Source organism: Homo sapiens, chromosome 1, assembly GCF_000001405.40.
Source record: "Homo sapiens chromosome 1, GRCh38.p14 Primary Assembly".
Lineage (NCBI taxonomy): Eukaryota > Metazoa > Chordata > Mammalia > Primates > Hominidae > Homo > Homo sapiens.
The window spans coordinates 212,627,174-212,652,927 of record NC_000001.11 but is presented as its reverse complement, the minus strand read 5'-3'; the positions used below and the strand labels follow the sequence as shown (position 1 = coordinate 212,652,927).

The following is a 25,754-nucleotide window of genomic DNA, read 5'->3' as shown; positions in this document are numbered from 1 at the left end:
GCTGCCAGGCTGGTGGGGAAGCAGGAGATCCTAGAGACTGAGGGAGGCTGAAAAGTGGAACCCAGGGCAAAGGTTTGTGTGCGCCCATGTGCACACACACATGCACACACTCATGGATACAACAGGAGCTCCAACAGAAAGAGCTAGGAACACAGCTCTGGCATCTTATGTGTCTCAGTCCACAGCCTTGCCCAGGCCCAGCAGAGGCTCACTCTGCCCCTTCTTATTTGCCCCTTTGCCCATGATTCTCAGATGCCAGAATCCAGGCTCTATCCCCATGGCTCCCTGTGAAATGTCCTGGGCACCTCCTCAGGGTGCTGGGGAGACCACCATAGGAAAAGGCTTATCACAGGATAAGACTCAGGAGGCCTGGGTTCTCCCTCTGCTTCTGCCTCCATATCCAACTCAGATTCTTCTATTACAAAGAAACTCAAAGTTCTCCCAGATCTCTTCCAGCTCCAACAACAGATGATTATTTTAGAAAATAGTGAAACTCAGAGAATCAGTTTATCAGAATGTTTTGGCTGCAAATAACAAAGCACTTAGTATAAGAGAACTAAATGACGAGGGTTGATTCATCAGAGAAAACCTGCAGTTCAGAGGGAGGTGATTCCAGGGTCATTGTGGTGGCTCCGAGAGATCAAGGACCCAGGCTCCCTCTGCTTTCTTTAGGGCTGCTGCTGCCTTCCCTCATGGTGGCAAGATGGCTGCAGTGGCTCCAAGCTTTTCTTCTCATGTGGTGGCTTCTCAAGCAGGAAGAAAGGGGCCAGGGACACAATGAGTGAGGAAAGCCTTTCCCAGAAGCTTCCAGCATTTCCCCTCAGGTCTCTTTGGCTAGAGCTGGGTCACAGGCCTAACCTTAGACCTGTCGCTGAACAAGGGGATAGGACTGACCAGTCATGGTCCCTATACTTGGGCCAGGTAGAGATATGAAGAAATAAAAACTTGGGGTTCTATTAGCAATAAAGGGAAGGGGAGCAGCCACTGGGTGACCAACAGTGCCTGCCACAATCAGGGGGAACGCGTTCAGGAGCAAGAAACCAAGACTATCTGGTGGTTGTAACCAGGAAGGACATTTATTGGAAGAAATGTGTGGTGTGAGTCTGGAGGAAACAGCCCAGAAAAAAACCAGGAAGCACAATACATGCCTTTTAGCCGGAGTGGCCTGGTGTGGATTCCTCATCACGGCAGAAGAATTCTACTGCTTCTGGGCTATGTGTCACTTGTTCAAGATTGAAGTCTTGGCAGCAATATAGTATTGGCTCAGGCTGGGGTTCAGGCCTATGACCTGGATAGCTGAGTGCAGAGAGAAGGAAGACTTGGCCTTTTTAGTCTCCAAAATGGCCACCCACCAAGACTATATAATAGGAGATTTCCCTCCAATAGGAAAGAGGAGTTGGATGCTACTCGGCCAAAACAAAGCCAGATGGCCCAGCTAATATCCAGGAATTTGAAAAGCCCTTATTGAGCCTGTAGCCTGGGAAATGGGAAGGCAATGGCTGGACTTACTTATGGCCACCATGATTAATTACCAGGAAGCAAGTCACGACTATATGCTTCATATGATTTTGCAAGTTTTATTAACAGCTGGGTAAGTTTACTTTGATTATAATGTGAGTATCTATGTCCACCAACTTTGTAGTGTGGTTAGTTGTTCACAATTTTAAGAAATTGTAAGAATAGAGTTGTTAAAGAAAAAAAAAGACTTAGAAGGAACATTTAAAAAAATTACTTAGTCTCAGAGATTGCCAGCTGGATACATCACACCTGAGTGAAGCTGTGGAAAGGCTCCGAGACACCAGAGCTGGAAACAATGCCCTCAGCTCCCGAACACGCTTGCGAGTCCCTGGAGGATCTGAGGTTCCTTTTTAAGCAGAAAGATAAGTAATGCCTTTTCACCTCAAAGTAAGGCCATTAAGCTCCAGATCATCCTCAATAAGGGACACCATCCTCTCAATATTCAATAATCACCTTCTACAGGGGCCTCTAGACTGCCCATTGTGGGATATGACAGAGGCAAAATCCTGCTTCTGTCTTCTTTGGACCTGGTTCGATACCACTTTCAGCAACTCATGGAGCCAACTCAGCCTAGACAGTGAGAGGCTAAGACTCACAGAACCACCACCGCCCCTCTGTCAGCAGGAAACAGTTACAGAAGACTGACCTTCATCCACTTTCCACCAAAGATTTGGGGTCTTGGACTCTTAAGGCAGGGGTAAATGTTACAGTAGGTAGCTAGTCAGGTATGAGCAGGGCAGGAGAGGGCTCCCTACCACACACACACCAGAAATGTTGGGCAACCATCAGGTGATGGCCAGGCGGTTGTTAACAGTTTGTTTAAAGTAATAATTAGTCACAGCTGGTGCCAGGGAAAGGTAGGCTCCTAATAGATAGAAAACACCTGAAACTGATCAGCAGCTTCCCAATAAGATCCTGGAAGTATGCCAACAAATAAAACCCCAAGTCAAGATGTTAAGCTGTGCACTTGGTTTCTCGAGTCGCCTGCTTGGCCCTCTTCCAAGTTGCATTTTCCTTCTTTCCTTTCCTTTTTTTCCTTACTGGCCTAAAGCTTTTAAAATAAACTTCCACTCCTGCTCTGAAAAAAAAAATTACTTAGTCAAAATTTATTTCAAGGCCTGAAAACATTCAGACTAATCAAAATGGCACTACTGTAACTTTTTTTTTTCCTTCTTTTTTTTTTTTTTGAGACAGAGTCTCGCTCTGTTGCCCAGGCTGGAGTACAGTGGCTTGATCTCGGCTCACTGCAACCTCTGCCTCCTGGGTTCAAGTGATTCTCCTGCCTCAGCCTCCTGAGTAGCTGGGATTATAGGCGCACGCCACCACGCCTGGCTAATTTTTTGTATTTTTAGTAGAGACGGGGTTTCACTGTGTTAGCCAGGATGGTCTCGATGTCCTGACCTCGTGATCCACCTGCGTCGGCCTCCCAAAATGCTGGGATTACAGGCGTGGGCCATCGCGCCCGGCCTTGTAACTTCTTATAATAGTTAATATAAAACTTTGAAAAATGTAGATACAGTTAACTAACCTCTACGCACCATACCATCCATCTTAAAAGCAATGGCTATTTAACAAAATGTAAGGTGGCTATAAAGTATAAAAGAACATTCACACACTTAAAGAGAACATAATTAACAGCAAGCTAGTCAGACAAACAAACACAAATATTTTCACATTTTCTATGTTTGTTTTTAACTTTGCTTCATGAAGCCACTTATAATTGAGGCTTCTTTCAAGTACAGGATTTCTAATATGAAAAATAGTATTTTCTACATAGCTCTATAAAGAAATGAAAAGCCACAAGCTGCATTGTTTGCCATAAATTCATACACCAAAGAGTAAAACACAATCCAACTAAATTTATACATGTTTCCCTCTTCTCCAACAACTGCTTCAGATGTTTTTCTATGTACTTTCAAAATATTTTTATTAAAGTCAGTTCAAATTCATTTATGCAGATTAGGAAAAAATGATCCATAGTGAATTATTTTTAAAATTACCTTCTGTATACTTCTATCCCTCCACCAAACCAACCACCAAATCTATTGCTAAAGTGAACTATAATGCAATATACTGTTTGAAGGGGCCCAACGCAATCTGTAATCTTAATTTCCTAAATATCCAAAGATTTCAACATTCTGCCAATATCAACAAAAAGACTCAAGTGGCCAAAAATCACAGTCAGTAGGAGGAAAAAATCTACAGTATGAAGATTGTTTAACAAAATCTGTGCCTTTCTCTCAAGCTACAAGCATTCTTAGACTAGCATTAAATTACATTGTGTGTATACAACTACGTCAGTTTAGATTTGTCCTGGAACATATAGTTACATTAAGAATAAATAATTTTCTAAGTATTTTATAGTTTAATTGGCTTTAAATAGTTAGGCTAGAGGGAAAACAAGCATTTTATGTGTGTGTTTTTTTAAGAAACTGGTACATATAAACTAATGGCTATGTGTTCACTTAAATCTTGAGGAAACCTAAAGATGAAGTCTGTTGTGTCTTTGTTTTTCCTAAAAAAGGAAAAAAATCAAAGTCAAGAAAAATGTTAAAGTCTTATAGATATCTACAAGAATATCTACTCTGAAGAAGAAAGAAGTGTTATCCAACAAAAAGGAGAACCTATAGATTCAAAAAACATCTATCTTACTGTCTTAACAACAATAAAGATATGCAGAGGGAGTCTAGACCACTTAGAACCGAAGCAGCTCTATACAAAAATGAAAATGGTGCAATGATGTGACTGCCCAGATAATGACTAAAGGCCAGGTGCAGTGGCTCAGGCCTGTAATCCTGGCATTTTAAGAGGCTGAGGCAGGAGGATTGCTTCAGCCAAGAGTTTGAGACCAGCCTAGGCAACGTAGGGAGACCTTGTCTCTACAAAAATATTTTAAAATTGAGCTGAGCACGGTGGCTCACCCTGTAGTCCCAACTACTCAGGAGGCTGAGGTGAGAGAATTGCTTGAGCCCAGGAGGTCAAGGCTGCAATAGACCTTGATCACCATTGTATTCCAACCTGGGTGACAGGGCAAGACCCTGTCTCAAAAAAATAAACAAATAAATAAAAATAAAAATAAATAAATAAATAGAAAGAAAAAAGAAAATGACAAAAAAAGTTTCACAAATGTCTTCATGCTTATAATAATATATTAATGCATCATATATCACAAATACAAAGTCTGGAGTTTTCCCCTTAGGTTTATAATAAACTATACAACTCCTATTTAATGTATTTACTTTTATAAGCCTTCTCTGTTTAGGACTATATGCTATGCAAGTACATACATGAAGGTTTTTGCCATGAGAACTATAGTTCTCATCTCAAATTAGTGGCTTGCCTTTTAACCCATACTTATATACATTTCATTTCCATTATAAGACACTTAATACCCTTCTAGTGGTACATTCTAATCAACATATTTTGAAAATCTTTATTTTTAGATAAAGCTTTTTATGTATTTAAATAAATAAAACCTGTTAACAATTTAACAATTGAAGCACAATATAGTAACTGTGTTGTTTTGTTTAAACTAGTTCACAGCTGTGGGAAAATGTTTGATTTTAAGACTATAACCAAGGTGAGACTGGACAGTTGTAAGCAGTGAAATACTAGAATACAGTGAATGAATAAATAAGATTTTTTTTTTAATCAGTGGCCGTTCATTATTTTGCTTTTAGGAACCTGGAAGAAATGGTCTTCTTTAAGTTTCAAATGTTCTGGTAAATGTAGGCGTTTCTTAGCTTCCTTAATATCACCTTGAATTGCCGAAATAAGTGACTCTAAAGAAGCAAAGTTCTTTCGGGTCTGAGGTAGCCAAGGATGGCCACATTGAAGATCTCGCCACGCAAGTCGTTTTTGAAGATACCCATGATATACGTTTCCATGGACTTCTTTGTTTTCTTAGAGTATGAGTTCCATCCTGTCCTCATAATCATCTTATAGACATCTCCACTTCCAGCACTGGCCCGACCATAATAAATGCCAGTGCACTCATCAGCTGGAAGAGTACTACTTGTTCAGGGAAGTTCGCTGTGGCCATGCCCAGTGCTTGGATCCACAGCTCCTGGCCTGGGCAGAAATAGAGCAGGTGCCTCAGAATGCAGTCCATTCGCTTGGGGCACGGGCTGTGGCCCAGTCCATGCATTGCCCAGACCCCCGCACAAGGGGGTCCTGGGGGACGGGGTGTGAACTCTGTGCTGGGGCAAATGCCCACGACACGTGGTGGTGGGTCCCTCACGCCGCCGACCCCAGGAATAGTTTCTGAGGCAGATGGACTAGGGAGGACTGTGACCTGCACCTGCTTCTCCCACACCCTTCTCTGATGGGGTCCCCCAGGGATGACACTGATGGGAGCAGAGGCTTCTCACGGATGATTTGGGGATGATTTGGATGGGGAAGGCAGAGAAAAGAAACAGGTGGTCTTGGATTATGCAAGTTCTACCGTATTGATGCAAAACTTTGATTCGTCCGCACCACCTCCATTTAAACTGAATCAAACACGTGTTCGCACAGCATCAGTTTCACCATGCTGAGGCCCCGGACCCAGGTGGGGGCGAGGTTTGCCTAAGCACGCTGCAAGACCGCGCACAGCCAGCGATGTGCATGCGCACACCCGCACCTGCACATGCGCACACAGCCCAAACACTTGCAGTCGCACAGTGCTGCCTCTGGACCGACAGACTGCGATGGGAAGTAAAGTGAGACCAGAGCCAGGTGCCAGGCCAGTGAAAGTCCTGAACTGGCTGCTCCTGGCTCCAGAGAGGGCAGATTCAATAGGGTATGTTGACGTGAATGCCTGGATTTTAATCCGTGCTAAGTGACCTCTTTAATGGAGGTTTCAGGGTAAGGTTCAATCCTTACACTTCATGTCAGCCCTGGCTCCCACCCCGGCCATCATCTTAGGACATGTTACATTTCAGATATTTAAGTTCTTCCCCTTGGTGCAAACAAACCCAGCAATGGTGGTTATTGCCTCATCTAAAAAGAAACATTCTCTTCTCAATTAAACTCATTCTTGAGTATTCAAATCCAGTGACTAGGCAATTTTAATCATCTTCTCTAAACAAACAGAAATTTCCGCCAGATTATCAGGCCCAGTTAACTTCCTGAAGCCAGTCCCTGAAGGAGCGTCACCAAGTCTCCTGCTTAGACCACCGGGCTTGAGGCAGCTCTGGACACCTTGGGCACAGTCCGGGGGAGTGGGAGAAGGGGGCGGAGGGGCGCCACCTCCTTCTGCCCTCTGGGTCCCTCTGTGTCTCAGTCCCCTTCAGCTGGAGCTCTCCCACTGCTCTCATACACCTCATACTCAGATTTCCATCTCAAATCCTCTTCTCCCTCTCTGGCCAGGCCACAGGCTCTTTCTTGTCTCGGTGGAGCCACAGGTGTGTGACAGCTTGGTCTCCATCTGCCCACCAAACCCAGCCTCCTCCCCACTGGCCCCTCAAGTCCTGCTCGCCTCGAGACTTCTTTCCTGACTATCCTGCCCCCAGTCGACCTTACACCCCAACCTTACTCTCCTCTCCACCATCACTAAGGAAGGCTTTTCTTGCCTACCAGACAACAGGCTTCTTCCCCAGGCAATTTATTTTCCCTAGCTCAAAGGTTACCATTCACCCTTGGTGTTTATTGACATGATTTCACTGAACTATAGATGTAGTATGTGTGGCAGCTGGAGTGTGGGGGAGAAACAAAGGTGGCCTATACCATCTGCATGTGACATTCCTTTTAGTTTTCCTTCCCAGTTCGTTTGTTTCTTTGTTCATGCATCAAACATTGCCCGTTTATCATTTGTCTGGTATTGTGAAAGACATTGGGCATAAAATAAGATAGATAAGATACAATTTCTCCCCTCAGCCCCCAAGAAAGCTTGGAGTCTAGTAAGACAGTAGTTTGAGGTTCACAGCAGATAGGTACAATACAGTGTAGTGAGTGCAGTAATAAGGCATTATGGGAGTAACGCAGAGGGGCTCTGAACCTGGGTGGGGAGGACACTCAGCTGAATGTTGAAGGATGAGTAGGCAATAGTCAGAGGAAGGTTGGGGCAGGGGAAGGGAGATCAAGGGATAGTGGTGTAGCAGGGAGAGGGAACTGCGGAAGGCACCATGACGTGTGCTGAGAACTGAAGGTAGTTTGGAGTTGCTGGAACTGAGGTTTGAGGCAGAGAGTGGTGACCGATGAGGACAGAACTGCTCTAACTCCAGGGGATGCCATACATACTGCAGTCATCATGATAGGTAGCCCCTGTTGTGCACAATTTTCGTGGCCTTAGTCCATGGCCCTGAATGTGGCTGAGAGGTAAAGCTAAGCTTGGTGATAAGGACTACAATCTGATAAGGGCTGAAGAACTTGAACTTTAGCCTCATGCTATCCCCAGATGACTGGGCCCCCACCGTGCTGTGTCCCTCTGGGCACCCATCTGCTGGTCTTTTCCTTCTCACCCCTTGCTCCTTAGATCACAGGCTGTTAGAACTAGAAGAAACCTTAAATGCCATCAAGGGCAATCCCCTTCTTTCAACAAATAAAACAACACTAAAACAAATAAAGGCCCAGAAAAGAGATTGGTTTGCCAGAGGTCACATAGTCAGTGGTAAAATCTTCCAGGTCTGTTCTTCCCCCAGACCCACTTACCTACTGGCAATATCCCCAACGTTCACCCTGCCCCCCAACTTCTCTTGGTGTTTTCTTTCAGGCATTTGGATATGGCTGAGGCTGATTTGCCAAGTCCCCTCCCTAAACCTTATGGTTAATGAATTGGGGGTGGGTCCTGGCAGTTGGATGATGAGGCCCTGGGAGAGGTTCATTGGGGAACTGTAGGAAATGCACTTCCTTCCTCTTCTGAGCAAACTTCCAGAAGTGCCAGGTGCTCCTGGATGTGTGGGAAGGACCTGCACACAGCCACTGGGTAGAAATTCTCAAAGGAAGTTTGGAAGAAGGGGAGCCTTGGGAGACACACAAATGTAAGGCAGCAGAGCTCCCAGCTTTAACATTTCCCCTCACCCCTTTGGGAAAGACTGCCAGAGACACCTGTACAGCCTGGTGTGTGGTCTGGGGTGACTGTAGAGAGGGGCAGTCAAAGGAAGAGAGACTTTCCTGTTGCCACCTACTTGGTAGTGTCCTTGGGGTTGGGGTGGGGGGCAAACACTTGGAATTTCAGGCCATGATCAGGGAGGGAGCAGTGGTCCCCCCACCCCGCCTCAGCGATGCTGGGAGGGCTGGAAGGAGCCCAGAATGTTCAGAAGCCCCTGGTGCCTGTGAGCTGTAGGCCTGGGTTGCACATGTATCAATTCTGTGTATCAACAGCATGTGTTTATCCTTTCTTCCCCTATTTTCTCTCCCCTTGATGTCAGGCTGTCTTGTGACTTGTTTTGGCCAATGGAATATGAGAGAAACACTAGCAGGAGCTTTAAATGGGTTTGTGTGTTTTGGCTTCATCTCCTGAGCTTTACTGGTCATGAGGAGAGCTTGTCCTGAGTGTCTGCTAGAGCTTGTCCTGAGTGTCTGCTAGTCCCAGGACAAAGACCCACAGCCTGAAGCGGAGCCACAACATCCGATGTGCAGGCTATTGAATGAGAAATAAATACAATTGCCATCTGAGATTTCAGGGTTGTTTGTTAAGCAGCATGGTCAGAGCAAACCCTAGAATACAGTTATTTTGAGAAAGACTGAAAACACAAATGACCAGTGACTTAACACAAAAAGGTTTTCTTCTCTCATGTAAAAGTCCAAAGGTAGGCCATCCAAGGAGTCACCGAGACCCAGGACCCTTCCAGCTTTCAGTTTCACCCTCTTCAGGTTGTGGCCCTCATCTTCATGATCCAAAGTGGAGTGAGTGATCAGGGTCCACATTCTAGCCAGCAGGAAGGAAGACTGAAGGATGGCAGAAGGACATGCCTGTCCCTTTAAGGAGACTTCTTAAAAGTTTTACACCGGGAGTAATTTTGGAAATATTTAACGACCAGTAAGGCATGGGTTTCAGTTAATCAGAACGAATACCAGCTATAAACAACAGGTACATCTCTATCTGGGCATGTGGTGTAACTATCAGCCCTGATCACATCTTTCCATTTACAGATCTCATTGGCAGATCTTAGTCACATGCCCACACCTAGCTGCAAGGAAGGCTGGGAAGCATAGTCTTTACTCCAGACAGCCTTGGATCCAGACACAAGTTGGAGGTTGTAGTATTGAGGGAGAAGGAGAAAGTATTTACAGTGGGACAGCTAGTGTCTCTGCTACACAATTAAAGACACTTAGCGGCCGGGCGTGGTGGCTCATGCCTGTAATCCCAGCACTTTGGGAGGCCGAGGTGGGCGGATCACAAGGTCAGGAGATCGAGACCATCCTGGCTAACTTGGTGAAACCCCCTCTCTACTAAAAATACAAAAAATTAGCCGGGCGTGGTGGCAGGTACCTGTAGTTCCAGCTACTTGGGAGGCTGAGGCACGAGAATCACTTGAGCCTGGGAGGTGCAGGTTGCAGTGAGCCAAGACCACATGACTGCACTCCAGCCTGGTTGACAGAACGAGACTCCATCTCAAAAAAAAAAAAAAAAAAAGAAAAGAAAAAAAAGAAACACTGGCATAGTGCAATGAGCAAGGGCTTTGGAATCAGACAAAGCTGAGTTCAAATCCAGCTTCCGCCACTGTGGTCATGGGCCATTACAAATTTCTCTGAGTCTCAGTTTGCCCATCTGTAAAAGGTGAAAATTGAGTAAAAAAAAATATATGTAGTTGTTGTTGTTGTTGTTTTGAAGGGTAGCATTTTGCTCTGTTGCCTGGCCTGGAGTGCAATGGTGTCATCAGCTCACTGCAACCTTAAACTCCTGGGGTCAAGTGATCTTCCCGCTTCAGCCTCCCGTGAGTAGCTAGGACTACAGGCACGTGCCACCATGCCTAGATAATTTTTAAAATTTTTGTAGAGAGAGATTCTCACTATGTTGCCGAGGCTAGTCTCAAACTTCTGGCCTCAAGCAGTCCTCCCGCCTCAGCCTCCCAAAGTGTCGGGATTACAGGTCTGAGGCACGACACTCAGCCAAAACAATGTATTTAAAGATCCTGAAACCATAATTGGCAGATTATAAGGACTCAATAAATATTAATTCCCCCCAAGTCCGGAATCACAATAAAGCATAATTGATTAATAAGACAGTTGTGGGTTACTCTTCCAGAGAGACCAGCCCAGCATTTAAAGGGGGAGGGACAAAGTGTTAAGACCAAGAATCAATTCTCTCACTGGGTACAGTGGCTCAACACTCATAATCCAAGCATGTGGGGCTGCAGTGAGCTGTGTTTACATCACTGCACTCCAGCCTGGGCAACAGGCTGTCTCAAAAAAAAAAAAAAAGAAAAAAAAAACAATTAATTATTCTCTAGACCTTGGTGGAAATGTTTGAGGGGAACAGGAGAGATCTTCCTAGCCCCTGTAAATTATGCCTAAAGGATTTCTTATCTTTTTTTTTTTTTTTTTTTTTTGAGACAGGGTTTTGTTCTTGTTGCCCAGGCTAGAGTGCAATGGCACGACCTCGGCTCACTACAACCTCCACCTCCTAGGTTCAAGCAATTCTTCTGCCTCAGCCTCCCAAGTAGCTGGGATTACAGGCACCTGCCACCACACCCGGCTAATTTTTTGGTATTTTTAGTAGAGACGGGGTTTCACCATGTTGGCCAGGCTGGTCTCTAACTCCTGACCTCAGGTGATCTGCCCGCCTCAGCCTCCCAAAGTGCTGGGATTATAGGTGTGAGCCACCTCGCCCGGCCAATTTCCTATCTTAATGGAAAAATTTTAAAACCTTTACCCTTTATTTTTCCCTTCTTGCCAATAATCCTTTTCCTGCCCCTCATTTCAAAATCAGATTGGTCTGATTCTATCATGCCAAAACTACTGGTTAATCTTAGCTTATATTTTGTAGAATGACAGCCTATGGGGGAAAGGCTGATTAAGTCTGTTTCTTTTGTCATGATCATAGTGTAGTCTTTATATGATATTTACTCAGCTCTCATTGGCTTGGGGCAGGGATGACAGGATGCAATGGTGAGCTATCAATCACTGATAATGGCTTTGGTAGGTTTTCATGATGGCAACAACCACGTTCCATGTCTTTGGTAGGCTTTCATAATGGCCACAACCATGTTCCATGTCCTCTAAATTCATAGCTCCACATACATGGGATGAAGCCACAGGTGGACGTGGTTCTTGGACGAAGGTGGTGGAGAGGACTCTTTTTGGCATGAATGCTGAAAGGGTTTCTCCAGCTCTCCAATAACAACAAAAGCAGTTTTTTCTCCCATGTTGTTGTATGCAGTCAACAAATATTTATCAGTTACTTGCTTGATTTTATGTTTTTGTATAGGCAATTTCTCTAAAATCTTTAGGAATCTAAAGTTCTTGGTTCTAGGAATCTAGTTCTTGGTTATGGGAGACGCACAGAGGGGGAGAGACGAAGTAGATAACATTTTATAGTTTAACTTTTGCATTTCTGCTATATTGTTTGGCCATACGGCTTAATGAGAAAAGATGGTCTTTGGAGTTTGACATGCTTGGTTTCAGATCTTGACCCCAACACGCTGTTATTGAGGATAAACTCTCAGTGGCATAACACAGTGAAACTTTATCTCATCTAAGTCATAGTCTAGTGCAGGGGGCAGAGGGCAGGATGAAGGATGCTCTGTTCCATGTAGTCATTCAGGGATCCAAGCTCCTCCCATCTTCATCACATGGCTCCATGGTACCCTGGGTCATCCAGATAGTGATGTGAAAAAGGGAAGTGGAGGTTCATCTGCAAAGTCTTTATGGGCCAGGCCTGAAAGTGGAAAAAAATCACTTCTGTCCCCATTTCAGTGGCCAGAACTCAGTCATGTGGCCTGCCTAGCTGCAAGAGAGCTAGGAAATGTAGTTGAGCATGTGTCTAAAAATGAAGAAAATGGATACTAATGAGCATTAAGAGGTTCTGCCACAGCTATTCATCAGCTTTGTGACATTGAGCAAATGACTTCAACTTTCTTAGCCTTAGTTCCCTCATCTGTATAATGGGAGTAATACAGATCTCGTGGGACTGTTGTGAGACTTAGAGGAAATAGTATACATGAAGTGCTTGGTACCCAGTGCGCCCTTCCCATTTTAAATATACAGATGAGCACTTTTTCCTTCCTCTGGCCAATCCCAAATATTGGCTAGTTGAAAGTTGTCCTTCAGCAAACTTTTATCTCATTAGGGGAATATGGATCAGCACACACAGCTCCTATGCCCTGGGAGTAGAGGGTTGAGTTTGAGTGATCTTTCAGGGAGGCAGCAAGGTGGTCCCTGAAGCTTGAGGGAGTTTTTCTTAAGGTCTTTTCACAACATATGTGAAGGTTTTGCTGAGCTATTATCTGAATAACCAGGAACAGTGGTTCTTTAGTTACCTTGAGGAAAGTACCAGAACAAAATGACTTCCATGGCAGCACCAAGCATTTATGTTAATAGAAGGAAAAAAATCTGATGAAACTACTGGACTATTACAAAGACTTTGGAAAGAAGACTCTTTCCTTCTCTTGAGATCTTTAAGAAAAGGTCAGTTTCTTTTTTCTTCTTTTCTTTTCTTTTCACCTCCCTCCCTTCCTTCCTTCCTTCCTTCTTTCTTTCTTTTCTTCTTTCTCTCTCTCTTTTTCTTTCTCTCTTTCTTTTCTTTTCTTTTTCTTTCTCTCTCTCTCTCTGTCTCTCTCTCTCTGTCTCTCTCTCTCTCTCTGTCTCTCTCTCTCTCTCTCTCTCTCTCTCTTTCTTTCTCTTTTTTGACAGGGTTTGGCTCTGTTGCCCGGGCTGGAGTGCACTGGTGTCATCTCAGCTCACTGCAACCTCTGCCTCCCAGGCTGAAGTGATCCTCTTGCCTTAGCCTCCTGAATAGCGAGTAGCAAGGACTACAGGTGCCACCATGCCCAGCTAATTTGTTTGTGTTTTTGTACAGACTGGGTTTTGCCATGTTGCCCCGGCTGGTCTCGAACTCCTGTGCTCAAGCGATCTGCCAAGTGCTAGGATTACAGGCATGAGCCACTGCTCCTGGCCAGAAGAGGTCAGTTTCTATATTTTGGGGTCGTTCAGCACATTTCTGTTTAGGATCAGAAGAATGGGCTGAGGCTTCAGGGGCCACCTGCATCCCTCCTGTCCTTTCTCAGAGTGGTCCTTTTCTCCCTTCTTCAAGAAATGAGGCACCTAAGCCTTTGTGGCTGAGTTGACCTGCCCCTTAGCAATCCTCTGAGGGCTGCTTTATAGGAATCTCCAGAATGCCTAACCCCTGATCGGGTTCCAGAACAATGTCCCAGAACATTCTGTGCACTTGACAGGCCATACCCAGTGAGAGCCAAGTTCAAGAGGGTCAGTGTAGGGAGATGTAAGGGAAGAGGAGAATAGTGAAGTGCTGTCATGGGAAGTAAGATATAAATAAAATGACCCTGTTTCCAAAGAGGCAGTACAGCCCAGAGGCTCTGTTCTTGGGCATGCACATTGTTGGGTGGTTTTGACAGGCTGTGGAGCTAAACCAGAGCTCAGAGTCAAGACAGGAGAAAGGAGGCACAGGCTTGGCAGCCAGATGGTTTTTCTTCCTCTGCCTTCTGTTGGGTGGCTTAGAGGATGCACACGGAACCCAGACTGTGCTCTTTCCTCTGAATGACTTCTAGCCACATCCCTCCCTGACCCCAAACTGAAAGCCATTCTATTTTAATATTTCTCTTGGGAAGTAGATTCCAAAATTTCCCTAAGTCTTCCCGTAAGGGGAGCCTCTGATTTCCAGTAAATCAAGGGTCACATAGTTTTCTATATTCGTTTGCATTTGGTTTGCATAAATTAGCATGCTACAAAGTCCTGGACTCTGAGTCAAAGCAAGCCAGGGAATTAATGCAAAAAGGCTCAAGCTTCTGTGCCCCTGGGAAATGGCAGAGGAAGACAGCTTCAGCCTCAGAGCACACAGCACTGAGTTGTAAGAAACAGGTCTCATCATCCCCTTGGCCAGCAGATTTTCACCCTGGGCCCACTAAGAAGCCTGCCAGGGGGTCCTCTGTTGTCTGGACCCTGAGGCTTCATCCTCAATGTGTTGGAGCCTAGGAGAGAGGATTAGAGTTATGCGGTAGGTGTGGGAGTTGTGTTTGATGGGCTAGGAGTTGGGTGAGGAGGGATCCTCAGTTTTGGGTAAAGGCAAAAAGGCAAGGAAGCCAGGAAAAAGCAAGGAGTTGGAATAAAGACAGAGTGTGGGAGAAAGAGAGTGAGCTGGGTACAGGGGTGGGAGCAGATGTAGAAGGAGGAGGACAGAGAATCTGACTCAGGATTGAGACAGCCCGTGGGAAGTGGATCCCTAGCGTAGGAACAGGAGAGAGCCAGAGAGGAGAGGTAAGAGGGGGCAAGATTCGGGGGTTAAGTAGAGGCAAGCCGGCAGGCAAGCACTGCATGGCTAGTTGAGAATGGAAAGGGGACGTGGTGATCTAGGAAGTTTCTGTTTAAAGGCAGAGAGTGTATGGTCAGGCAGGGGCTGTATCTATTTTCTTGTTTGTTTATTCTGTTGTTTGTTTGTTTGTTTGTTTTGAGACAGAGTTTCCCAACGGTGCAGTCTCTACTCACCGCAACCTCTGCCTCCCGGGTTCAAGCAATTCTCCTGCCTCATTCTCTTGGGTAGCTGGGATTACAAGCATGCGCCACCACTCCCAGCTAATTTTGTATTTTTAGTAGAGATGGGGTTTCTCCATGTTGGTCAGGCTGGTCTCGAACTCCTGACCTCAGGTGATCCGCCCAGCTCAGCTTCCCAAAGTCCTGGGATTCCAGGCATAAGCCACTGCGCCTGGCCTGTTTCTATTTTCTTTTGCCAGGCAGGTTATGTTATACTGGGGTTTCTTGCTGAGGTCTGTCCTGGGACTGTCTGAGGTGTCACAAAGAGCCCACAGGTACAGACGAGAAATTTGAAAGTGAATCCAGACGCAGCAGATGACAGCAAGATGGGACTCCAAGTTCTCTTTCTAGAAATTACAAGCTGCTCCGCTACCCACACATGTAGCTCATTCTCCCTGTGGCCAAGACACTCCTGTGCCTGAGGGAAAGGCAATGCCTGCGGCAGAAACGGAGCGGTCCCCCAGCCAGGGGAGAGAGTGGCACCTAGTATGGTACCCAATGCTCTAAGGCATGGAGCTGATTGACTGCTGACTGTAGACCAGCCACTCACCACAGTGTAGGTTGGAAGCCTTCTAAGGCCGTGCGTTCTGCAGAGTCAGCCCATGATGGGGCCAGGAGTGTGGGCTCCAGTGTCACCCCCTTGGGATTTAATCCTGGCTGCACCTCTGGGGGCCTTGGGTAAGTTCTTGTAACTCCTCTATGCCTCAGTTTCCTCATCTGTATGGGAACAATAATGCCTACTTCATAGAGTTGTGGGGAAAGAACTAAGCACAATAATCCCTGTAGAGCTCTTAGAAGAGTGGCTGGCAGAGAGGAAGCACTCAGTAGAGGCTGTGATGACACACGGCAGCCCTGATAAGATGCAATAGAAAGATTGCAGAGCTTGGAGAGAAACACCGGATGGGCCCCCAGTTGCTTGGCTCCGTGCCCGATGTGGCAGCTGCTCTTACAATTTCAACTTCAGTTGCTGCAGCCACGGCAGCACACTGTGTGGATGAGGGCCAGGTTCAGGCTCTGGCCAACCACAGGTTGGGAAATGACACTGTTAGCTGACGATGTATCATCTGGTTTAATGATGTTTCTTCCTGTTTTAAGTTTTCCTTTCCTTTTTTAGGAGAGTATAAGGGAAAGAAATAGTCCCTTCCTTTCTTTGGAGAGAAGGAATCCACAAGCTGGAAGGAGGGACCCTGGCACGAAGAAAGGCACAGGCCCCTCCATAACTTGTTTCTACCACTCCCCTTTGAGGGCCCCTGGGGAAGGTTGGTTAGTCTTGAATCTGTGCCCAGGAGAAACCAAAAATCCTTAGTGGGGTTTCTCCCTGTCCTAGGCCTCCTGTCAGAGCTAGCGGAGATCTGCTGGAAGGAGGCCGGGAGGAGGGGATGTACGGATGCCATCATGCCTGGATGGAGGACCAGAAGGTCTTTATAACAAGTATTTGTGGAGCTCCTAATATGTGCCAAACTGTGGTAGACCTGGATACCCAGAAACACGGCCACTCCCCTAAAGGAGGTTGCAGGCTATACCAATTAAAATAATTATCTCAGTCCCTTCTTATCAACAGAGTCGTCCATGGAGACTATTTCTCCCCCTGCCCCAGGCACACAGAAGCCTTGAGGCTTTCATTGTGGCCCCACGGTGACAGCACACCCAGGTGGCACTCTCAGCTTATCACTGATTTGCAGAGCTGCTGTCTTGCAGCTAAAAGCAATGTGCTGGTGGATTTTTAAAAAGAAGTTCTGAGAGGCTTCTTAGAAGGTCTTTCTCCACATCACTAACTATTCGGATTCCGGAGCACGGTGCCAAGCCCCTCCATTTACTGCAGCCTTGCCCTTCCTCTCAAGATCCAGCCGCTAATGCTATGGGATGGCTGGTGGCCCCACTTGGGCTCCCCCAACCCCCACCTCGACCCCTAGCTTCCGCCTGTTTGGAGCTGTTATCAGAGGAAACAGACTTGAACATGACGGAGTTGCTGTCTCTTGGGCCTGACCAGAGAGTTGTGTTTTCTTGGCCTATATCACCTCAGATTTATCCTCGGCCTGACCGCAGTCATTATCAGCTAAATTCACCATCTCTAGATGCCCAGAAGATTTCAAAAGTGGACTATAGGCTGCCAGTTGGTGTTAGAGTTCAGAGAATCCCTGGACTTCAGCACTAGAAAGGAGCAGCTGCTATGTCGGGGGTGTCAGGGGCTGGATGCAGGGGCTGTTGCACTGATCCCAGCTTGCTCCATTCACAAGCCCCTCATCCATCTCTGAAGACTGGGACCAAAGCCAGGGCTGGGGCAGGCCTCTCTGGGCACAGGGGCCTGTTAGCATTGGTTTCATTCCTTCACCAAGAGGCCTAAAGACATTGGAATGATGAGGCAATTAATGTGAAACAGAAACAAGTGGCTTTAGTTCCAGGCATTTGAAACTGAAAGGAAGCTGTTGACATTCTTTGAGACCCACTCTAGGCTATGATTTTTGCTGTGCTAGCCAGAACTCTGCTACTTACTTGAAGTAGGACCTTGGGAAAGTCCCTTCTCTAGGTCTCAATTTCCTCATATGTAAAAGTGCATCTGGGATTAGTCAAGACCCTTCCAAGCCTGACATGCTATGGTCTAAGTGTCCCAGTAATCTCTCTGTCACCCAGGGATCAAAGATTTACAGATGTGTAGGAGAGATGGGGAGGAACACACTAAGATATGTCCTTGTGAGTTTAGTTAACTAAAAGACTGGGGGAAAGAAAGGGAAGTAAGAAAATAAAGTGAAAAGGTGGAAGAAGGCAGAGTGTAAAAGAGGGAGATAAGGAAAGTACAAAAGATAGAGATGTCTGCTGCAATTTCTCAGTACTCTTCAGATACATCCTGGCCAGGTTTACTTTCTTAGGGGCAGGGTAGATTGTGAGGGTGTGGAAAATGGTATTTTTTCAAAGAGAGTCACAATAGTATTGCCATCTCACATGCTGTTATACAATGTGATCTTGCCATTTCTCTACCAAGATAAATGCAGTCTAGTTTCTCTCCCTTTAAATCTGAGCTGGCCGTAAGACTTGCATGAACAATAAAATGTGGTGGAAGTTATTCCAAGTGACTTCTGAGGCTTGGTCAGAAGCAGCTTTCCCTTAGTTACTTTGAGACATTTGTTCTGAGGGAAGCCAATCTGACTACCTGAGGCCATTGTGCTGGAGAAGCCACACATTGGCATTCCTGTTGACAATCCTAGCTGAACCCTGCCTTCTAATCATTTCCCTCAAGGCTTATCAAATAAGTGAATGAAGCTATCTTGGACTCTCCAGACCAGCCCATGCTGCAGCTAAGTATTACTGATCAATTTCACTTTATACCACAGGGAGCGGAAGAATCACCTAGCTGAGCCCTACCCAAATTCCTGCTGTGTTTGTGCCTAGATTTTTTTTATAAAACAAAACACACTGGAACAGGATGGCAGGAGATTTTTTTGTTTTTGTTTTTTAAACGCTTGTTTCAAACAGCAATGAAAAATCCTTAAAAATGTATAAATAAGACTTCAAGATTTTAGAGGTGTGAAATTTCAAAAGAAATCTGGAGGCTGGGCGTGGTGGCTCACGCCTGTAATCCCAGCACTTTGGGAGGCTGAGGCAGGTGGATCACAAGGTCAGGAGATCGAGACCATCCTGGCTAACACAGTGAAACCCCGTCTCTACTAAAAAATACAAAAAATTAACTGGGCGTGGTGGCAGGCGCCTATAGTCCCAGGTACTCAGGAGGCTGAGGCAGGAGAATGGCATGAACCTGGGAGGTGGAGCTTGCAGTGAGCCAAGATCGTGCCACTGCACTCCAGCCTGGGTGACAGAGTAAGATTCCGTCTCAAAAAAAAAAAAAAAAGAAATCTGGAAGCCAACTTTCAATTTGCCCATTAAGGACTTTAGTACAAAACTACCATCTTCTATAGGTCATTATATCGTTTTTGTTTTTGAGACAGAGTCTCACTCTGCCACACACATTGCAGTGCAGTGGCGCAGTCTTGGTTCACTGCACCCTCCCTGTCCCAGGCTCAAATCGTCCTCCCACCTCAGCCTTCCAAGTAGCCAGGAATACAGGTATGCACTACCATGCCCAACTAATTTTTAATTTTTTTTTAGTAGAGATGAGGTCTCAATGAAGCAGTGTTGTTGCCTGGGGTAAATACCCGGGTTCATCATCTCGAGCCAAGAAGATTAAGGACATGAACACACATGAAGAGTAAGTTTAGGAGCAGAGGTTTAATAGGCAAAAGAAAGAGAAAGGAGAACAGCTCTCTCCCTTGCAAAAGAGAGGGGCTCCCAAAGGGGAAAACCCAGCCTGCGGTGGACTACACCCGATTTTATAGGCAAGCTTGAGAAGGCAGTGTCTGATTTATGTAGGGTTCACAGATTGGTTTGACCAGTATGATGTTTACATAGTATTCACGGAAGGCTGCATGCCCCACCCTAATCTTATTATGTAAATGGAGTCTTTGCCTGGCTGGCGCCATATTGTCTTCTCCTTACTGTACATGTGGTTTGACAAAGGGAAGGGAAGATGAAGCTGCCATTTTGAACATGCCTAGTCCCAGGTAGCCTTTTCCTGTTGGCACAACTGCTGGCATTCACCTGTACAAGCTTCCAGCTTGCTTACCTATGTCTGCAGCTCGATTTTACAGGCTGCTCTTTGTAGAAAAAAAAACAAAAAACTATTTTGAGACTGCTTTTCATGAAAAGAAAAACCTTACCAAGGACTCCCAGACCCTCACTATCTGCCTAAGTAATTTCTTCTTAACTCCTGTATCATTACTATATTGCCCAGGCTGGTCTCAAATTCCTGGGCTCAAGTGATCCTCCCACCTTAGCCTCCCAAAGTGCTAGGATTACAGGCATGAGCCACTGTGCCCAGCCATGTTGTATTTTTTAAAGTACAGTTTATCATGAAAAAGGGAGAAAAGGTACTACATCCAACCAGAATGGCTAAAATGAAAGAGATAAACACTATCAAATTTTGACAAAGATATGAAACAACCAGAACTCTCATATATGCCTGGTGGCAGTGTAAAATGGCATAGCCACTTTAGGAAATAGCTTGGTAGTATCCACTAAAGCTGAAAATATGCATATATTCAATTGTATTCTTAAGTATATATCCTACAAAAATTTATGAGCGTTTTAACCAAAAGATCTGTGTACAAATGTCCATAGCAGTAATCTTTTCTTTTTTTTTTTTTTTTTTTTTTTTTTTTGCTCCAGTCAAGGGAGAAGCAGTGATGTTTTAGTATCCAGAAAGTGGAAATAACCCAAATGCCCATCAACAGCAGAATGAAATTGTACTATATTCACACCATGGAATATTGTATAGCAAAGAGAATGAATGAACTATTAACAGAAAAGACATGGACAAATCTCATAAACATGATGCTGAAAGAAACCACAGTCAAAAAAGTACATTATTTTGTGATTCCATTTATATATAGTGGGAAAAGGAAGCAACATTAATTTATGGTGTTAGAAGTTAGGATAGTGGTTACCCTTAGGGGTAGTGACTGAAAGAGAACATGAGAGGGGTATTGGGGGTACCGTGATGTTTTGGTTCTTCATCTGGGTGCTAGTTGCATGGGGTTGCTCACTTTATGAAATACCATTGAGTGGTATGCTTTTGACCTGTGCACTGCTCTGCATGTGTGATATACTTCAAAATGAAACATTAAGATACAGGAGGAAGGACATAGTCTCAAAGCAAAGGACAGTTTTTTTGTTGTTGTTTGTTTGTTTGTTTTATTTTGTTTTGAGACAGAGTCTTGCTCTGTTGCCCAGGCTGGAGTGCAGTGGCGGGATCTCGGCTCACTGCAACCTCTGCCTCCCAAATTCAAGCAATTCTCCTGCCTCAGCCTCCCGAGTAGCTGGGATTACAGGCGTGCACCACCAGACCGGCTAATTTTTGTATTTTCAGTAGAGACAGGGTTTCACCATGTTGGCCAGGCTGGTCTTGAACTCCTGACCTCAGGTGATCTGCCTGCCTCAGCCTCCCAAAGTTCTGGGATTACAGATGTGAGCCACCATGCCCAGCCAGAACAAGTCTTTAAAAACTAAATTTAACTTTATGAACAGTTTTACGAAAAATGTACTATATTTGTCCACATTTTCCTCATCTCTCCTTGAAGCAGTGTAAATTGCTTTAAGACAGGGTTCTGGGGCTATGCCAATGTCAGTGGGAAAAGAAAACAGGGGTGACAAGACTGGCATCAACTGATGCTGTGAGGAACAGGCCAGCTCTTTAAGGAAGGTGCCTCTCATCTGCTCCTGGCTTCTGTGCTCATAGTTCACACTCACGGTGTTGTGTGCATGTCTAGGAAGATGCTTCCCAACCTTTTGCAGACCATGGCATACGCAGAAAATGACAACATCGGAATGGCACACTGGCATACCAGTTGGGGATCCTTGCAGTCAATGCTGACTGGACTCATCCTTCAGCCGCCCCCAAGAAGAGAGAGATCAATACCTTGGCACATCTGTGGGAAAGCTCCCATTAGAGAGTGTGGGGAAGACACAGGCCTCCACAACACATTTCAGGTTCTCTAAACTGGCAAAGGGGAAGAGTCTGGGCTTCCTTTGCCCTTTTGTTCTCAAAGAGCCCAGCTGTGCACACCCCTCACCCCTGCACTATAGCTCCCATTTGGGTAGTGAAAAATCACAGGACTCAGGGGAGTTATGCAGCATTCGGGAATGGAGACCTGGAAAGCCACACACTCCTCCTTGCTTTCCTGTGAGCCTCTCTTCTTGCTGTCCCCTTTACAACCAACAGTCCCTGCAGGGGGAAGACACTCTGCTTTAGTCAGTTCCACCTCCCTTCCAGATCTCATCCTCCTTTCAGCCTAATTTTCCTCACACTGTCATGCTCCTTCCCACTGCTCGCCCCCCACCCCCTACTCTCCTCCAGCACATCACACATTGCGCCTGGGCACACTGAGCTTGTCTGCCATCTATGAAGAGGCCCATGTCACCCAAGCCCTTCTCTTTCCCTGTCATGCCATAGCCTCTTCCAGGAGCGCTCAGCCTGCTGTTTCTGCTCAGACCTCCCCTCCTCTGCAAAGCCTCCTTCTGCGTGCTGCCCGAGAGCCATCCCCCACTTGGGTTTGTGTTACTGCTGTGTATGGCAGCATCTTCACTGTGCCTGATTTCCCGTCTTGGCCCATCGTAGGTGCTCAACAATTGTTTCTCAAATGACCAGCGCCTGCAGAGGGACCCTGACATGAACTCCACCCCACCCCGACTCTTGGCAGTTACTCACTGTCCCCTTGAGTCGGGATCCCAGCCCCTCAGGGGACCTGTCTTGCAGCCATTCCACGCTCTGTCACCCCACTGCCAGGAGACTAGAGCCACACTGCCTGGATGACGCTCATCTTTACCAGCTCGCAGCTCTGCCAGCTGCCTGCTCAGGGGTGGCCGCCAGCTGAGGGATTGAGCTGATTATAGGTGAATCAGCACCAGGCTGATTGTGGTGTGAAAAAGGGGAAGGGTGACTGTGTCTTAGCCTCAATCCTGGCTCCCCTCCTTCCAGCCCTGACCTGCAGTAACAGCACAGGGCCACCAGAGGCTCTATTGGGCGACTCATGCCCCGCGGAGAAAGGCCCAGTAGGAGAGCATCTGACCCAGTTCCCAGCAGATGAGAAAGGAAGAAGAGTTCAGGAGGCTTCTACTCTCAGAGGTCTCCAGCACTGAAACCCCGCAGCCGCACCTGGCTGCCTTATCCTTGTGTTTTGCCCCTCATGGGTCTAGAAGCTGTTGTGTTACACCTTAACATCTTCCTCCTTGCTTGCCATGAGCCCCTCTGCTTGCAGCCCCCTTTACAGAACAACAGTCATGGTAGAGGGAAGATGTCTCCACTTTTGTCAGTTCTGCCTCCTTTAGGAGAGTGTCAGGCCTAACCCATGTGTGCTCTGTCTTTCAGGGCATGGAAAAGACTATTGTCCTGTTTCGTCTTTTCAACACCTCTTGACTCTCTCCCCCTGGTTTCCTAACAGCCAGCTAGGTTCAGGGCCTCCCATCTCTGGCCAGGATTAGTGCAATGGCTTTCTGAAGGGTCCCAGGCTCCAGGGAGCCCCTTGCCCATCAAGTCTCTACCCTGGAGCCAGACAGCCCTTACTTCCATCAGACATCAGCCTCCAGTGGCTCCGAAAGGCCAGGCATCCACACAGCACCCCACGGCCCCAAGAACTGGCTGCTTGATTTTCCTGCCCTGTGTCCCTCCTCTCCTTGGCCCTCTACCCAGCAATCACCCCAAAACACTGTGATGTTTCAAGCCTTTGTACTTTGCACACATTCTTCTCCATGGCCTAATTCCCTCTCTCCACCCCTCACTCCACACCTCCTCCACCTTTACCCTTTCTCCCCATTCTTTCTTCACCGGGCACAGCCCTACTTATCCTTCAAAACTGCCACTTCCTCTGCGAAGCCTTTCCTGACCCGTGTCCCAGAATCCCTCCTCTGAACAAATCCTGTTCCCTAAACATGCATCTCTCATTGTATCTGTCACTCAAGGGTTGCAATAATTACACACACGCCTGTCCTTTGTCCTCCACTGGCTCTGTACCTCCATGTGGGACCCATGGCCAGCACACATTGGTGGTGCCCGAAAGCTGTTGCACTGGAGTTGTTCCTTCTGCCCCATCACCTCCCACCTTGAACAAGTCCTTTAGATGACCTGAACTCCAGTTTGTTGATCTGCAAAATGGAGAGATGTGAGAATCAGAAGAGAACACGTAATGAAAGGGTGTTATAAACTGCTAAGGGCTGTACAAATGTTTGTATTGCATTTTTGTCTTCCAGACTAGTGTTTACCTACACTTGCCTGTGTGGAAATCAGAAGATTAAAGGAATGCGATGTGATCTTTTTGTAATTTCCCCACTTGGGTCAAGGGAAAAGCTGGTCAAGAGTAAACCATTAATTCATCCCCCTGCAGGCCCCCCAATCTTCCCTAGAATTCTGGGTTAATGATTCTGAGGTTGTTTTCCTCACAGAGCCAATTCATATCTAATCTTTGGCATGTTCCCCCCTTTATTAAGAATAACTTGACTCACCCCATTAATTCCTCATCCTGGGGTCACGAGCCTTGTTTTGCAGAAGGAAATGGTGGCTGTGTGTATGTCTTGGGCCTTCTTTCTTTCTCAAACCCCTTTCTTTCATGGATTCATGCCTACAATTCCCTCTGTGGACAGAAGAGACCTCTCCTTACCTGCATAATGAAATGTGTGACTTTTCTCAAAAGTAGCTTTAGGAATTAACTGTGGAGGTCCAAGTAGCAAGGATGCTGTGACCTAACTCGTTACCCCCTCACGTGTGGTTTGGAATCCCAGCAGAAAAAATTTCCTGAAGATCTGGTACGGAGAAACCATTCTGGGCCTGGCTTTTAAATGTTTTATTAGCAGCTGGGCGAGGACTGGGCTGCAAAGAGATGCAGCCCCCGTCAGAAGCGATCCCTGTTGGGGAGCAAGGCCTGGAATTCCAGGAGGGAGGTCTGTTTATAGCTGAGGCAGAGGCTGGGGAGCGAAGCCTGGGAGCCAGACATGGCTTAAGGGTGGTCTGGACACTCTTGAGATAAGGCCAACTAAGGACTATGAGCTCATTGAAGTTCCAAAGCCAACTCACAGCAGCTCACCACCAGACATGTCCCCTGCCCCCACATTCCCTCCTCTCAATCCAGGAATTTTGGTGCTCATCTCTATAAAGTTTTAGACCATGGTGGTAGGAACCTGGTAAGTCTCAGGTTCTTGCATTGCCCGATTCTCCTTGGATTTGCTGGGTTTGCCTCCTTCCCATGTCTCAGACAGGGCTTTGCATAAAGAAGTGGGCTGGTAGATCTGCAAAGGTCCCTCTGTGTGACTGGAGCAAGTTACCCTCTTGAGCCTCAGTGTCCTCTTCTGTAAAATAGGGATATCATTCTTTCTTTCCCAAGGCTTTTGGTAATAATGTCATTCTCATGTGATTCTTAACAAAATGGGCCTTTCAGACTTAGATCACTTTTGTGCATGCATAAAAATGAAAGCATTGAGGAGAAGGAATTGGTGAATATATGTCTGGAGCAATAACTTCATCAGAACTGCCACGGTGGTTGTAGGACCATTCTGATTCCAGAGGTATTAAAATGCAAAACACAATGTTGAAATGCAAAACCCAACAAAATAATAAACAGCCTTGTACCTACCGCCTCCCTTAAGAACTAAAACAATTCCCAACACCACTGAAAGACTGTGTTCACCTCCTTGATCCAATCTCTTGCCTTTCCACCCCAGAGAAAACCACTGTCCTGAATTTTTTCCCACTCCCTTGGTTTTGTTTTACCAAACATGTATCCAATATGTAACATATTATTTGTATTTGATCTTGTTTTTGAATTGTCCTGTAGGTAGAATTATATCTTATTCTGCAATTTGCTTTTTAAAGTTTTTGAAAGAGCAAAACTTATCTATGCTAATACGCTAATGTGTGTAGCTGCCATTTATTTGTCACTGCATATACCCCTCTCAATTCTGTTGATGGAAATTTAGGCAGTTTCCAGTATTATTTTGCTACAAACATTCTCATGGCTGTCTCCTGCAACATGTGTGTTTCTTGGGAGTATACTTAGGGGTGGAATTGCTAA

At 46.0% G+C, this 25,754-nt stretch overlaps 1 long non-coding RNA gene and 1 pseudogene across 2 annotated transcripts in view, besides 4 other annotated features; one reads left to right on the top strand and one right to left on the bottom strand.

The window, feature by feature from the left end:
* The window catches only part of LINC02773 (long intergenic non-protein coding RNA 2773), a 36,718-nt gene extending 12,718 nt beyond the window's left edge, over positions 1-24,000 (top strand). For both annotated transcript variants that reach the window (NR_183482.1, NR_183483.1), the window contains exons 3-4: positions 20,365-20,556; positions 21,465-24,000. This is a non-coding gene — a long non-coding RNA (long intergenic non-protein coding RNA 2773). The remainder of the gene's footprint in view (positions 1-20,364; positions 20,557-21,464) is intronic.
* On the bottom strand, positions 2,609-5,654 carry RFKP5 (RFK pseudogene 5; annotated as a pseudogene).
* Positions 6,156-6,665: an enhancer, noted in NCBI's record as "H3K4me1 hESC enhancer chr1:212819605-212820114 (GRCh37/hg19 assembly coordinates)". NCBI's record gives its function as "activates a minimal SCP1, AML or CMV promoter by ChIP-STARR-seq in naive H9 embryonic stem cells {active_cell/tissue: H9 hESC(naive)}" and the evidence as "EXISTENCE:reporter gene assay evidence [ECO:0000049][PMID:30033119]".
* Positions 14,286-15,485: an enhancer, noted in NCBI's record as "BRD4-independent group 4 enhancer chr1:212810785-212811984 (GRCh37/hg19 assembly coordinates)". NCBI's record gives its function as "activates an origin of replication core promoter dependent on BRD2, P300/CBP, MED14 and CDK7 cofactors, and independent of BRD4, by STARR-seq in HCT116 cells {active_cell/tissue: HCT116}" and the evidence as "EXISTENCE:reporter gene assay evidence [ECO:0000049][PMID:35650434]".
* Positions 15,994-16,113: a silencer, noted in NCBI's record as "silent region_1801". NCBI's record gives its function as "represses an Ori minimal core promoter by ATAC-STARR-seq in GM12878 lymphoblastoid cells {active_cell/tissue: GM12878}" and the evidence as "EXISTENCE:reporter gene assay evidence [ECO:0000049][PMID:35858748]".
* Positions 21,887-22,418: an enhancer, noted in NCBI's record as "H3K4me1 hESC enhancer chr1:212803852-212804383 (GRCh37/hg19 assembly coordinates)". NCBI's record gives its function as "activates a minimal SCP1, AML or CMV promoter by ChIP-STARR-seq in naive H9 embryonic stem cells {active_cell/tissue: H9 hESC(naive)}" and the evidence as "EXISTENCE:reporter gene assay evidence [ECO:0000049][PMID:30033119]".